The sequence below is a fragment of the Homo sapiens genome, chromosome 2, assembly GCF_000001405.40.
Source record: "Homo sapiens chromosome 2, GRCh38.p14 Primary Assembly".
NCBI lineage: Eukaryota > Metazoa > Chordata > Mammalia > Primates > Hominidae > Homo > Homo sapiens.
The window spans coordinates 206,202,476-206,216,925 of NC_000002.12; the positions used below are offsets into that span (position 1 = coordinate 206,202,476).

Consider the following 14,450-nt stretch of genomic DNA (forward strand, 5'->3'; position numbering starts at 1 on the left):
TTAAAAGACAGGTCTGGCTCAGTTGCCCAGACTGGAGTGCAGTGGCGCAATAATGGTTCACTGCAGTTTCAACCTCCTGGGCTCAAGCAATTCTCCTGCTTCAGCCTCTTGAGTAGCTGGGGCTGCAGGCGCGCCACCACGTTCCGCACTAACCTGGTTAAGGCTGGATGGCGTCATAGCTATTCGCCCAGGGCGCCCGCCTCATTCGGGTGGGGATGGGGGAGGTGGGTGGTGGCAGCGGCGGGGGGCTGGGTTTCAAGCCATCCAGGTCAGGCGGCCGGCTTACCTTACTACAAAAGAGGAGAACTCTGCTCCTCTCAGTGTCTCGGTACACGTGGCACTGTGGACCTCAGCTGCTGCCAGCCCCTCAAAGCCTGTCACCCCTCCATCCACTGTACCCACTCCAGCGCGTTTCCTTTCCTATTGCGGACACCTCCCAAACTCACCTTCCACCCTAGTTCTTTCTTGCTACCAGATCGACCTCCTCCCTCCTAGATAACCCTGTTTTGGCCCCCTTTGTAGGCACAAACTTGAACCTTGCTCCGTTTGAAAGAGCCCAGGCCGGGCACGGTGGCTCACACCTGTAATCCCAGCATTTGGGAGGCCGAGGCGGGCAGATCATTTGAGGTCAGGAGTTCAAGACCAGCCTGACCAACATGGTGAAACCCAGTCTCTTCTAAAACTACAAAAAAAAAAAAAAAAATTAGCCGGGCATGGTGGCGCATGCCTGTAATCCCAGCTACTCGGGAGGCTGAGGCAGGAGAACTCCTTGAATCCGGGAGGTGGAGGTTTGCAGTGAGCCAAGATCGCGCCATTGCACTCCAGCCTGGGCGAAAAGCGCGAGACTCTGTCTCAAAAAAAAAAAAAAAAAAAAAAAAAGCAGCCCAACACCGGTGTCTTGCATTCATTACAAATCGTGTCCACAGCCCGCTTCCCAGCTTCCAACTTCCACCTCCAGGGGAGGACTGGGGGCTGGAGATTGCATTAATTTCCAATGGCCAGTGGTTTAATCAATCATGACTAAGTAATGAGCCTCCGTAAAAACCAGAGCTTCCGGTCTGGTGAACACACGGAGGTCCTGGAAATGGTGGCGCGCCCAGAGGGCATGGAAGCTCCGCGCCCCTTCCCACAGACCTTGTCCCGTGCATCGCTTCCATCCGGCTCTTCCTGAGTTCTGGCCCTTGTAGTAAACCTGCAGTCTTGTAAGTACGCCATTTTCCCGAGTTCTCCGATCTGATCTAGCGAACTAATGAATGTGAGGGGCGGTCGTGGGAAGCCTCAGCCTCCCAAGTAGCTGGGACTCCAGGCATGTGCCACCATGCCCAGCTTACTTCCTGTTTTCTTATTTGTAGGTACTGCTTTGCATGTTTTTCTCAGCCCAGCATAGATACTAAATCAAATACATTGATCAAGCTTACCATATAAGTGTTTTGGTACAATCAGCTCCTGTTCCTTCATCGATGATATAGGGAACTGGGGAAGAAACCATGAGTAAACTGTTCTAGGTTTATTGTATGAATGACAAAAGATAATATATGTTAGGGCATAGCTCAGTGTCTGGATCATAGTAAGAGCTCAATAAATGTGCAATATCAGGCCGGGCGCAGTGGCTCACGCCTGTAATCCCAGCACTTTGGGAGTCCGAGGCGGGCGGATCACGAGGTCAGGAGATCGAGACCATCCTGGCTAACATGGTGAAACCCCGTCTTTACTAAAAATACAAAAAATTAGCCGGGCGTGGTGGCGGGCATCTTTGTAGTCCCAGCTACTCGGGAGGCTGAGGCAGGAGAATGGTGTGAACCCGGGAGGCGGAGCTTACAGTGAGCCGAGATCGCACCACTGCACTCCAGCCTGGGCGACAGAGCGAGACTCCATCTCAAAAAAAAAAAAAAAAAAAAAGTGCAATATCATTGTTATGACTTTACTTGATTCTTTCATTACATTGTATTATGAAATATTTCACATGACTTACATGACTTTGCTGAAACATAGCAAATTCTCGGGCTTCTAGCTAATTTAATGATCAATGGCTCTAATCAGAGAGCTCATTTGTGGTTACTGTTTTCCGTTTTTGTTTTTTGTTTTTGTTTTTGTTTTTTTTGAGACAGAGTCTCGCTCTGTCGCCCAGGCCAGAGTGCAGTGGCATGATCTCGGCTCAATGCAACCTCAACCTCCCGGGTTCAAGCAATTCCTCTGCCCTCAGCCTCCTGAGTAGCGGGGATTACAGGCATGAGCCACCGCACCCGGTTTGTGGGTACTTTTGATGGCATTTTGGATCTGGGTTTCATCCTGAGAGAAAACATCAACTGAAAGACTGCTGTGAGCCACAAAATAATGGTTTCCTGCTGTTACAGTAAAGCTACGCTGTGTTCATTCCATCCTTGACAAAGTGGCATATTCTGATCTTGTGATAATGTTCCACCAAAGGAGTTTATTTATTTTGCAGCAAAAGATTTGTGTAGATTAGTTCATTTCTTGTGATGAATATCAGTACAACATAATCAGGCTACTTGCTATGATCTCACTGACCTGCTGTAATCCAACTGGCTAAAGAAGCAATCAGTTGTTTTTCTTAGGAAGAGATACATTTTGTTTACTCTCTTAAGTTTGATGAATATATCATTTACTGATTGCTTGAGAAATAACTAAAAAGAAGTGGTCATAATGTGGGAAATTAGTAAAGAGCATCCAGTGATTCTGAGCAGATTCCACTTACCATACCTAGAAAACAGGTCTCTATTTTCAAAAATCAATCTTTTATTTATTTAAGGCTGAAAGATGTGTGCATATTCTTGTAAATGTTCAAATAACAAGTTAAAATAGCTAAACTTTTTTTTAACTTACTGCATTTTGGGAAATCTAACATATTTCTGAGGAAGTCTCGAAATACGACTTTATTTCTTTCTTTTTTGGAAACAGAGTCTGTCTCCAGGCTAGAGTGCACTAGCACAATCATAGCTCACTGCAGCCTCGAACTCCTGGGTTCAAGTGGTCCTCCCACCTCAGCCTTCCCAGTAGCTGGGACTACAGGTGCTCACCACCACACCCGGCTAATTTTTTTTTTTTTTAAATTTGGGGTAGAGACAGGGTCTTATTATGTTGCTCAGGCTGGTCTTGAACTCCTGGGCTCAAGTGATCTTCTTGCCTTGGCCTCCCAAAGTGGTGGGATTTTAGGTGTGAGGTGAAAATGCCACTTTTACACAGTGTTCGGTGTATTATTATTATTATTATTATTATTTTTGAGATGGAGTTTCGCTCTTGTTGCCCAGGCTGGAGTGCAATGGCGTGATCTCGGCTCCCCGCAACCTCCACCTCCCAGGTTCAAGCGATTCTCCTGCCTCAGCCTCCCTACTAGCTGGGATTACAGGCATATGCCACCATGCCCGGCTAATTTTGTATTTTTAGTAGAGATGGGGTTTCTCCATGTTGGTCAGGCTGGTCTCGAACTCCTGACCTCTGGTGATCTGCCCGCCTCGGCCTCCTAAAGTGCTGGGATTACAGGCATGAGCCACTGCGCCTGGCCTGTTTGGTGTATTATAATCCTTCCTACAAGACAAGCAGTTTTCAGTGTGTGCTGAAATACACCCTTCCCCATTCAACTACCAAAAACCCAAAAGGAAGATCATAGAGAAACACCATATTTATCTGTGAAATACCATTCCAGAACAAGGAGTCTCTCCCAGACAAGAAAGAAACCATTTCATTTTACCATCTAAATTTTTCCCAACTTGTTTGTTGTATGTAAAGAACTGTAATTAAGTATGCATTTGTATGTGTGTGTTAATAGGGATAAAATCATTCTAAAGGTGGATGGTTTTATTTTGAATACAGTTAATAAAATGAGAGTCACATTGGGGGACAATAACAAATGGAAAGGCCATGTTTAATGTTATCAATACAGCTGGGTGATAGAACAAATAATTTATATCAACATGGCATTTTCCATATAGTAACCAAAAATTTATTTGACTAAGCTTTTATCTCCTAAACTTGCTGGTGGTTTTGGAATTAAAGAGAAAATCGCGAGCTCTTCTAAAAGGTAAGCGGTACTTTTAGATGTTACTTCCCTAAATGAACTCTTCCCTGCCTCCAAAAACCTATGCCCTAGCCTAAATCAGGGCCCCTGCTCTAAGCTCCTCACTTAGAGCAACTGTTACTACATATGTGGAGGCTTATTTCAAGAATGTCTGTCTCCGCCACCAACCTGTGGTTTTGCTTACCTTCATACTCCCAGAGCCTAGCACAGTGCCTGGCAAACTGTAGGGCTCAATAGTATTTATTGAAGGAAAGACTATTCAGTAGGTTTTGATAAAGGCATTCACGTGCCCGGGCATCTTGGAAATAACTATTTTGTCTGAGAAGACAAACGTGAACTGGAGAAGAGAATTTGAGTTCTTGATTATCATCAAATCCATTAGTTCCTGTTTCAGTCCCCCTGCCCCTTTTTTTTTTTTTTTTTTAATCAAAAGCATTAAAAGAATGTTGAGGACGTAGAAAAGCCAGCCTCACTCCTGAGAGGTGTGTTCAATCTGTTCAGCCACTTCCTTGGACCAGCACTTCTGACTGACAACAGTTGCCATTTCTAGGAAAAGATGATGAGATTTTTCTCTAAACTGGTATGAGGAGCAAACAAGTTCACTATAAACCATTGTCACTGTCATGTGTTGCTTATAATTTTTTTTTTTTTTTTTGAGACAGAGTCTCTTGCTCTGTTGCCCAGGCTGGAGTGCAGTGGCATGATCTTGGTTCACTGCAACAGGGTTCAAGTGATTCTCCTGCCTCAGCCTCTGGAGTAGCTGGGACAACAAGCATGTGCCACCCCACTTGGCTAATTTTGTATTTTTAGTAGAGACAGGGTTTCGCCATGTTGGCCAGGCTGGTCTCGAACTCCTGACCTTAGGTGATCCACCTGCCTTGGCCTCCCAGAGTGCTGGGATTACAGGTATGAGACACCATGCCTGGCCTGTTGCTTATAATTAAAACCAGTTGACCTAATTCCACTCAAAGGAAGCAAGTACCAACCACATCTAATTATGTAAATAGCACTTAACACATATAGTAATACTCAGCATTTCCTGAGTACTTGTTAAGTATGGTACAATGCTAAGCAACTTCACATGCATTGTCACATTTAACTCTCACAAGAATCCTGGGAGGTACTGTTATTATTCCTACAAGGCTAAGAGAGCTTTGGCACTTAGCAAAAGTGGTGAAGAACAGACTAAACATCTGGGTCTGTCTGACCTCAGGGCCTTTTTTTTTTTTTTTTTTTTTTTTTTTTTTTGAGATGGAGTTTTGCCGTTGTTGCCTGGGCTAGAGTACAATGGCGTGTTCTCGGCTCACCGCAACCTCTGGCTCCTGGGTTCCAGCGATTCTTCTGCCTCAGTATCCCAAGTAGCTGAGATTACAGGCATGTGCCACCATGCTCAGCTAATTTTGTATTTTTAGTAGAGACAGTTTCTCCATGTTGGTCAGGCTGGTCTCGAACTCCTGACCTCAGGTGATCTACTCACTTCGGCCCCTCAAAGTGCTGGGATTACAGACGTAAGCCACCACACCCAGGCAGGGCCTTCCTTCTTAATACCTGCACACACAGTCTCTCTGAGTAATAATCTGTTAAGGTGCTCATCTCCCTTACTAAACTAAGAACATCAAGGGCAAGGAATAACTTTTACTCATCCTTATATCTCAGCAAGGAGCAGAGTGCTCAGTAGGTGCTCAATGAATGTCTCGTGAAAGAAGAAGGAAGTGCTTCCTCAATCAACAAAACTATGTTATGTTTAGGCTGGGTGTGGTGGCTCATGCCTGTAATCCCTGCCTTTTGGGAGGCAGAGATGGGAGGATTGCTTGAGGCCAGGAGTTTGAAACCAGCCTGGGAAACATAATGAGACCTCCGTCTCTACAAAATCGAAAAAGTAGCCAGGCATGGTGGTATATGCCTGAGAGTCCTAGCTACTCAGAAGTGGGAGGATTACTTGGGCCCAGAAGGTCGAGGTTACAGTGAACTGTGATAGTACTACTGCACTCCAGCCTGGGCAACAGAGAGAGCCATGTTTCAAAAATAAACAAACAAATGTTATGCTTACTATGGTTTTAATGTGTAGAAATACACAAAACAAATATTTATATAAAATGAGACAAATATTTACATATATAAATATATGTAACTTTTTTTTTTTTTCCAGGCAGGGTCTCACTCTGTCATTCAGGCTAGAATGCAGTGGCATGATCACATCTCATTGCAGCCTCCACCTTCCAGGCTCCAACAATCCTCCTGCCTCAGCTTCCTAAGTAACTAGGACCTCCTGCCTCAGCTCCCTAAGTAGCTGGGACTACAGGCATGCACTACCATGCCTGGCTAATTCTTAAATTTTTGGTAGAAACAAGGACTCACTACGGTGCCCAGGCTGGTCTCGAACTCTTGGGCTCAAGCAATCCTCCCATCTTGGCCACCCAAAGTGTTGGGACTACAGGTGTGGGCCATTAGGCCCAGCCTTCTATTTTTATTACATTTTGATCCATTTTTATGTCAAAGCATAAGAAACTGCCATTTTGTTAGATCAAAAATGGTCAAGGTCACAGCCAGGCTCGGTGACTCACACCTGTAATCTGAACACTTTGGGAGGCTGACGTGGTTGGATAACTTGAGGCCAGGAGTCGGAGACCAGCCTGGCCAACATGGTGAAACTCCGTTTCTACTAAAAATACAAAAATTAGCCAGGCATGGTGGTACACGCCTGTAATCCCAGCTACTCTAATGGCTGAAGTGTGAGAATCGCTTGAACCTAGGAGGTAGAGGTTGCAGTGAGCTGAGATCGCAGCCACTGCACTTCAGCCTGGGTGACAGAGTAAGACTCTGTCTCCAAAAAAAAAAAAAGCACTTTTTTGTTGTTGTTTGTTTTTTCAACTTTTATTTTAAGTTCTGGGATACAAGTGCAGGATGTACAGGTTTGTTACATAGGTAAATGTGTGTCAGGGTGGTTTGCTGCACGAATCAACCCATCACCTAGGTATTAAGCCCAGCATCCGTTAGCTATTCTTTCTGATGCTCTCTTTCCCCTAGCCCTCCCACATGCCCCCAGTGTGTTGTTACCCCCACGTGTCCATGTGTTCTCATCATTCAGTTCTTACTTATAAGTGAGAACATGCCGTGTTTGGTTTTCTTTTCTTTCTTTTTTTTTTTTTTTTTTTGAGACGGAGTCTTGCTGTGTTGCCCAGGCTGGAGTGCAGTGGCATGATCTCGGCTCACTGCAAGCTCCGCCTCCCGGGTTCACGCCATTCTCCTGCCTCAGCCTCCCGAGTAGCTGGGACTACAGGCGCCCGCCACGATGCCCGGCTAATTTTTTGTATTTTTAGTAGAGACGGAGTTTCACTGTGTTAGCCAGGATGGTCTCGATTTCCTGACCTCATGATCCACCCGCCTCGGCCTCCCAAAGTGCTGGGATTACAGGCGTGAGCCACTGCGCCCGGCCCTTTTCTTTCTTTTCTTTCTTTTTTTTTTTTTCAGAGACAGAGTCTCACTCTGTCACCCAGACTGGAGGGCAGTGGCATAATCTCGGCTCACTGCAACCTCTGCCTCCCAGGTTCAAGCAATTCTCGTGCCTCAGCCTCCCAAGTAGCTGGGACTACAGGTGTGCGCCACCATGACTGGCTAATTTTTGTATTTTTAGTAGAGACGGGGTTTCACCATGTCGGCCAGGCTCAGGTGATCTGCCTGCTCAGCCTCCCAAAGTGCTGGGATTACAGGCCTAAGCCACCATGCCTGGCCCTGTGTTTCGTTTTCTGTTCCTGTATTAGTCTGCTGAGGATAATGGCTTCCAGCTCCATCCATGTCCCTGCAAAGGACATGATCTAATTCCTTTTCATGGCTGCACAGTATTCCATGGTGTATATGAGCCACACTTTCTTTATCCAGTCTATTATTGATGGGCAGTTAGGTTGATTCCAGGTCTTTGCTATTGTGAATAGCAAATAGCATTTTTACTCTTTTTTTTTTTTTTGAGACAGAGTTTCACTCTTATTGCCCAGGCTGGAGTGCAATGGCACAATCTTGGCTTACTGCAACCTCCGCCTTCCAGGTTCAAGCGATTCTCCTGCCTCAGCTTCCCAAGTAGCTGGGGTTACAGGCATGTGCCACCACACTGGGCTAATTTTTTTGTATTGTTAGTAGAGACGGGGTTTCTCCATGTTGGTCAGGCTGGTCTCAAACTCCCGAACTCAGGTGATCAGTCTGCCTCAGCCTCCCAAAATGCTCGGATTACACGCATGAGCCACCGTGCCCGGCCTGCAAATAGCATTTTTATATGGCACAACTGAATAAAGAAAAAGCTCTGTCAACTCTCACTTATACAATTAAGTAAAATGTTTCATTGCCAGATTTTTCCACTCAATTAGAGGTTTATCATTATAAACCGTTAAAGAGAAAGTTTTGTGAAAAATTAAGGATATCATATCTATATGCTATTTTTTTCTAGGTTCAATGATTTAACGTCAATTCAACTTTGTATTTTATTATTTTTCATGCCTAGGGACAATTTGGTCCTAATGAAAATTCAAGCAGGCACATATATATTCCTGCTTGGATTCTCCACCTTTTTCAAGCTGCCAGGTTGTCTACCTCCTTTCAAACTCATTCTCCATGAAGGCTTTTCTTTTCCTTTCTTTTTCAGATTAACTCTGCCTTTATCCCATGCCTGACCCACCCACGAGTGTTCCTCAAGCACTTTCATAATGATGATAGTTTATGTGTTTATAGCGATCACTTTTGGTTGAATATTGGTCTCCACTGTATCCAGTTACGTAAAGCACTTAACATGGAGGAACTATACCCAATTCATTCAGTTATTTTTTGTTTTGTTTTGTGTTTTGAGACGGAGTCTTGCTCTGTCTCCCAGGCTAGAGTGCAGTGGCACGATCTTAGCTCACCGCAGCCTCCGCCTCCCGGGTTCAAGCAATTTTCCTGTCTTAGCCTCCCAAATAGCTGGGACTACAGGCACATGCCACCACTTCTGGCTAATTTTTGTATTTTTAGTAGAGACAGAGTCTCTACTAAAGGCTGGTCTCGAACTCCTGGCCATATCTTATCACCAGAGATGAGAAGTCTCCACACCATGCCTGAACAGTTACTGTCACTAAAACTATCATATCACCAGTCTGTTCTCCTAAGGACCCATTTATGTTTCCAAAAATCACTTGTTTTCCCGTAAGTGCCCTTCTCTTCCATTTCTCCTATTCTCCTATTAAGATGGCATATATAAAACAAAACAAAAAACAAAAAAACACACACATTAAAAAAAGAAAAAGAAAAAAAGATGGCATATAAGCCCTAAATTCTAACTACCCATCTGAGTCACTTTTTTTTTTTTTTTTTTTTAAGCTAGGGTTAGGTTCTGGTTGCCCAGGCTGGAATGCAGTGGCACAATCATAGCTCACTCAGCAACCTCTGAGTCACATTTACTTGGGAACGCCCATATCTACATACATAAAATTAAATTTTGTTTTCTCTTGCTAATCTTTCTTCTGTCAATTTCATTTGCTGGTGCCTGATAACAAATCTAAGAGGGAACAGGAGAAGTTTTTTCTCCCTGACACATCTATAATCTCACCATCAGAGTAACACATCTATTATCAGTTTTGCATATTCAATCTTTTCTACTTCATTTATTTTTTACATGATTATCATTCTGGTTAACATGATCTGTTATTAAATATTTATCTCAGGGACATGACAATTAGCAGTCAAGTAACAGAAAATGTATGACCTTTTATAAACTAAATGACTTAAATCAGATAAAATCATAAAATAGGCCATGAAAAACATAATAATCTAGTGTCTGGAAGATGTACAAATATGATGAGAATTATTCACTAAGAATAATTACTTATAACTTGAGACCCAGGAAAGGTCCCTTGGCCTTTTTTTTTTTAACAAGACAAAATTACCATCGGATTAATTTAACAACAGGTTTGTGGATTCTTGGGTGAATGAGTCTGCCTTAAGTGAAAAAGGCAATTTAAGAGCATTATTGCCAGTGAAAGTCCTGTTATCAAACTTGATTTGGTTTTCATCAGCTTTCTTTTGGAGGAAAAGATAAAAGACAATTGGTGCTCACAGTTTCTGACTAGAAAAGGAATAATTGAATAGCTGAACCCTTGTCTCCCACAGTCTTCCCTGCATTTAGCCATCTACCCCTTGTTGGGAGAGCCCAGATACCAATTATTCTAACAAGAAATTGATAGCGAGATTCAAAAAGGCAACAACAACAAACAAATGGGAAGGCCCAACAAACCACAAGCCTTTCATCGTAAAAATGGGGAGCCAGTGGCGGGGAGCTGCATTACAACTCAATTTATAACTTTTTTCCCACCTTGTAATCTAAAGAGGGCAATATCAGCTTTCATCTCGGAGTACCATTTTTTTCTACTAGTTTCTCAACAGTGAGCCTTCCACAAATGATGTTTGACTATTTCTAGATCACAACTCCTTAAAAGACAGATTTATGAGCTGTAATTATGTAGGTAAAAGCTGAGAAAATTACTGAAAGTTCTTTGTCCGCCCACCCCAGCAACATGCTCATTTTCTCTCTTGCAGTGTTTTAGGATTAATCAGCAGCTGTAGCGAACCCTGTAGGATCGTCCCTAAACACTTTTGCCAAGACCAAAAATATGAATCTGCAGACAGAGCATTTTGTAAACGATCAGGAGTCCTTTTCCTTTTTTGCCAGCTGGTAGTTAGTCAAATGCTGTTTTGTAAATAAATCATCTGCAGGAATCCTCATCAGGTCCACTGTAAATGTGTCAGTTTGAGGAAAACAAACAGGAAAGCACTTACCAGTTAAATTTCTGTGAGGAGAGAAGCTATTGTCATGCCTGGGTGTACCTTCCCGGTTCCAGAATGAAATGGAGGGTGGTGTTCAGAACGGCTGCATTCCTCATTCCACTTTTATCTGGCTTTTGAAATGACAGTGTAGAGAAGAATGATGTTGGGTTTTGAATGTGGTTCTTCCCTTCCCCCACCCCCCTCCATAAAAATTCATCATGCAATCCTGGAGAAAAGTAAGCAATGAACATACTGTACAAATTAATTCTTTCGACCAGCCTATGTTTGTGTAAGAAGTTTGTTTTTTGAATGGAAACCACTGCTACTAGCTGTTCTGCTGCAGACTGAAAATCGGTAATGGATGGGGGTCACCCAGCCCTCCTTTGTCTGGGTAGGCTTTTGCTTATGAAAAGGCAAGTTAAATTAGCAGAGATGGAATGTTCTTCGAATGCATGGTATAAGGCTCATCAGGAGATTTTACTTTCTGTGATTCAGTGTGTCCTGATAGTGAAGAGATGGAATCACATATTGGTTAAGTGTGAATTTTAACGTTTATTTATTTTTATTTATTTTTTTTGAGTCGGAGTCTCGCTCTGTCGCCCAGGCTGGAGTGCAATGGCACAATCTCGGCTCACTGCAACCTCCGCCTCCCAGGTTCAAGTGATTCTCCTGCCTCAGCCTCTGGAGTAGCTGAGACTACAGGCACCTACCACCACGCCCGGTTAATTTTTGTATTTTTAGTAGATACGGGGTTTCACCACGTTGGCCCGGCTAGTCTTGAATTCCTGACCTCAGGTGATCCACCCGCCTCAGTCTCCCAAAGTGCTGGGATTACAGGCATGAACCACCACGCCTGGCCTTAAAGACTTGATTTTTTTTTTTTTTTTTTTTTTTTTTGAGACGGAGTCTCGCTGTTGCCCAGGCTGGAGTGCAGTGGTGTGATCACGGTTCACTGCAACCTCCGCCTCCCGTGTTCAAGGAATTATCCTGCGTCAGCCTCCCAAGTAGCTGGGATTACAGGCATGCGCCACCATGCCCAGCTAATTTTTCTGTATTTTTATTAGAGACGGGGTTTCACCACATTGGCCAGGCTGGTCTCGAATTTCTGACCCACCTCGGTCTCCCAAAGTGCCCGGCCTAAAGGTTTGATTTTTATCCCTGGTCACCATTTGTGGGCCTGGCAGATGTGGGCACATCTGTGTACCTGAGGCAGGACTCAGAATTCATAAATTCAAGGGATGAGAAGCATGGAGCTTGAAGGTAGGCATGCCTTGATGTGGTGAGCTTACCTCTGACGGCTAGCTATCTTTATTTTTTTAATTTTATTTTTTATTATTATTTTTTTTTGAGACGGAGTCTCGCTCTGTTGCCCAGGATGGAGTGCAGTGGCACGATCTCGGCTCACTGCAAGCTCCGCCTTCTGGGTTAACGCCATTCTCCTGCCTTAGCCTCCCGAGTAGCTGGGACTGCAGGCGCCCGCCACCACGCCCGGCTAATTTTTTTTTGTATTTTAGTAGAGACGGGGTTTCACCATGTTAGCCAGGATGGTCTCGATCTCCTGACCTCGTGATCCGCCCGCCTCGGCCTCCCAAAGTGCTGGGATTACAGGTGTGAGCCACCACACCTGGCCGCTATCTTTATTTTTGTATGGTCTAACTTCAGCTCAACCATGTGATACCTGAAATTGCACATTGTTAGGCCATGAAAGGTCAGCTGCCAGAGAAGCACAGGATTTTGTTTTTTTCCGCTGTTAAAGACCAAGTCTAGGAAATCTAAAGCAGGAATTCTCACGGTGGAGGTCGGGGGTAGGGGGTGCACTTTTTCAAACTACAAATATCCCTCTGCCCTATAAGAATGTATAGGCTTCCACACCTACCCGCAATCCCTTGATTCAATCTTGGCATATTTTTCAGTGTTTTGTGAGACCGGATGAATAGATGTCGTCAGTGAAGGGGGTACTTAGTAGAGCTCTGCTAGTTTCCATTCCTTTGCGTTAGCAGTATTAGTATTTACTATAGTCTATACTATGTTCTGTAATCCACAAAATCACAATTTCATCTGTAAAAGCCATTATTGAGGAGAATCTCAGGAAGTTTTGGTTACTTTACATGAGTTTATTTTTGGCTATAGAGCAGGAACCATTGAGTAGCAAAGAATATGAAAAGCGACAAGAGAAATGACATTGATCAAGGATTGTCCTATGTGCCACGCATAGTTTAAGCACAGTACACACTGAAACCCAGGAAAGTGTAAGCATTTTTATGTTTTAGCCACCACCTAAAACAATTAAAACATATGCTTGCTTAGCTTTGAAATTAGTCTAAGAAACAATAAATAAAAGGAATAATAAATAAAATATCTCTGCAAATGTGCCTTATAGTTTGAGGTATGTTTGAAGAGCTTCCCTTTGACACCCTAAGGCATGACTTGCAGTTGATCTGTTATGCAAAAGTAGCTGAAGTGCTCAGGTGTACTAGAGATAAGCCACCTGCCACCTCTGAGCATTAAGGGTATAGTAGATACCAGCCAGGCTGTTTGGTGCATTGGTTAAGCTGGTGGGTCAGTTAATTGGAGATCTATTAAGAGAGCCTTTTGTGTAAGTGGCAGAGTTGGGGTTTGGCTCCAGACGTTCTGACTTCAAATACCATTATCTTAAGAAACTTAACCATTGGGCTATCCATCTCCTTATTGGAAGAGATATTTATAGAATTGAGTGTATGAGGGGAAGGGATAGCAAAACTTCTGCCAGGTAGAAGGATTTCTGGACAGTTTTGCCACTTTCTAAAAAACCATTTGCAAATTTTCTGAAGGCTGTTATGGCTAGTATTTCAAGGGGTTTCTTTTCATATTATTTTTATTTTTAAAAATAGAGACAGGAGCTGGGTGCGGTGGCTCATGCCTGTAATCCTAGCACTTTGGGAGGTGGAGGTGGGTGGATCACCTGAGGTCTGGAGTTCAAGACCAGCCTGACCAATATGGTGAAACCCTGTCTCTACTAAAAATACAAAAATTAGCCAGAAGTGGTGGCGTGCACCTGTAGTCCCCAGCTACTTGGGAGGCTGAGGCAGGAGACCTGCTTGAACCAGGAGGTGGAGGTTGCAGTGAGCCAAGATAGTGCCACTGCACTCCAGTCTGGGCGACAGAGCAAGACTCCATCTCGAAATAAAAATAGAGACAGGGTCTCACTGTATTGCGCAGGCAGGTCTTAAACTCCTGGGCTCAAGTAATCCTCCTGCCTCAGCCTCCCAAAATGCCGGGATTACAGGTATGGGCCACCATGCCTGGTCTCAACAGGTTTTTGACAGAAGAATGTGTGCAAGCAGGTCTATAGGGCCAACTGGGCTCAGAGATGGAAGATACACAATGCCGCTATCATATTATTCTGGGGACTAGGATCTCCCATTTCATACAAATAGCATTTCTCCACTAATGCTTGAACTATCACTATTAGAAAACTGTTCTTTTGAAGATATTACATTGTAAAAGAGAAGATTTATATTAATCTAATGAAGCTTTAATAGTGAGAAAGGTTTGGGCGATTTTAAGTGGGTCATCCCCTCCCCTCCCATCAACCCCATGAGAAAAATTGGGGTTGCCAACTTGGCCTTTCATCTTTTGATATCATTAAGGT

At 43.8% G+C, this 14,450-nt stretch overlaps 1 protein-coding gene and 1 long non-coding RNA gene across 9 annotated transcripts in view; one reads left to right on the forward strand and one right to left on the reverse strand.

Annotated features, from left to right (window-relative positions):
* Positions 1-14,450, reverse strand: part of CMKLR2 (chemerin chemokine-like receptor 2) — a 42,597-nt gene that overhangs the window by 27,160 nt on the left and 987 nt on the right. For 2 of the 8 annotated variants that reach the window (NM_001098199.2, NM_001261452.2), the window contains one exon: positions 10,832-10,946. The gene's annotated coding sequence lies outside the window, so the exon portion shown is untranslated. Of the gene's footprint in view, positions 1-1,418; positions 1,474-10,831; positions 10,951-11,072; positions 11,154-14,450 lie in introns of those variants that run through there. The other 6 variants (NM_005279.4, NM_001261453.2, XM_047443968.1 and 3 more) reach the window with 5 other exon arrangements.
* The window catches only part of CMKLR2-AS (CMKLR2 antisense RNA), a 62,868-nt gene continuing 49,318 nt past the window's right edge, over positions 901-14,450 (forward strand). Inside the window, exon 1 of the long non-coding RNA NR_104359.1 lies at positions 901-1,202. This is a non-coding gene — a long non-coding RNA (CMKLR2 antisense RNA). The remainder of the gene's footprint in view (positions 1,203-14,450) is intronic.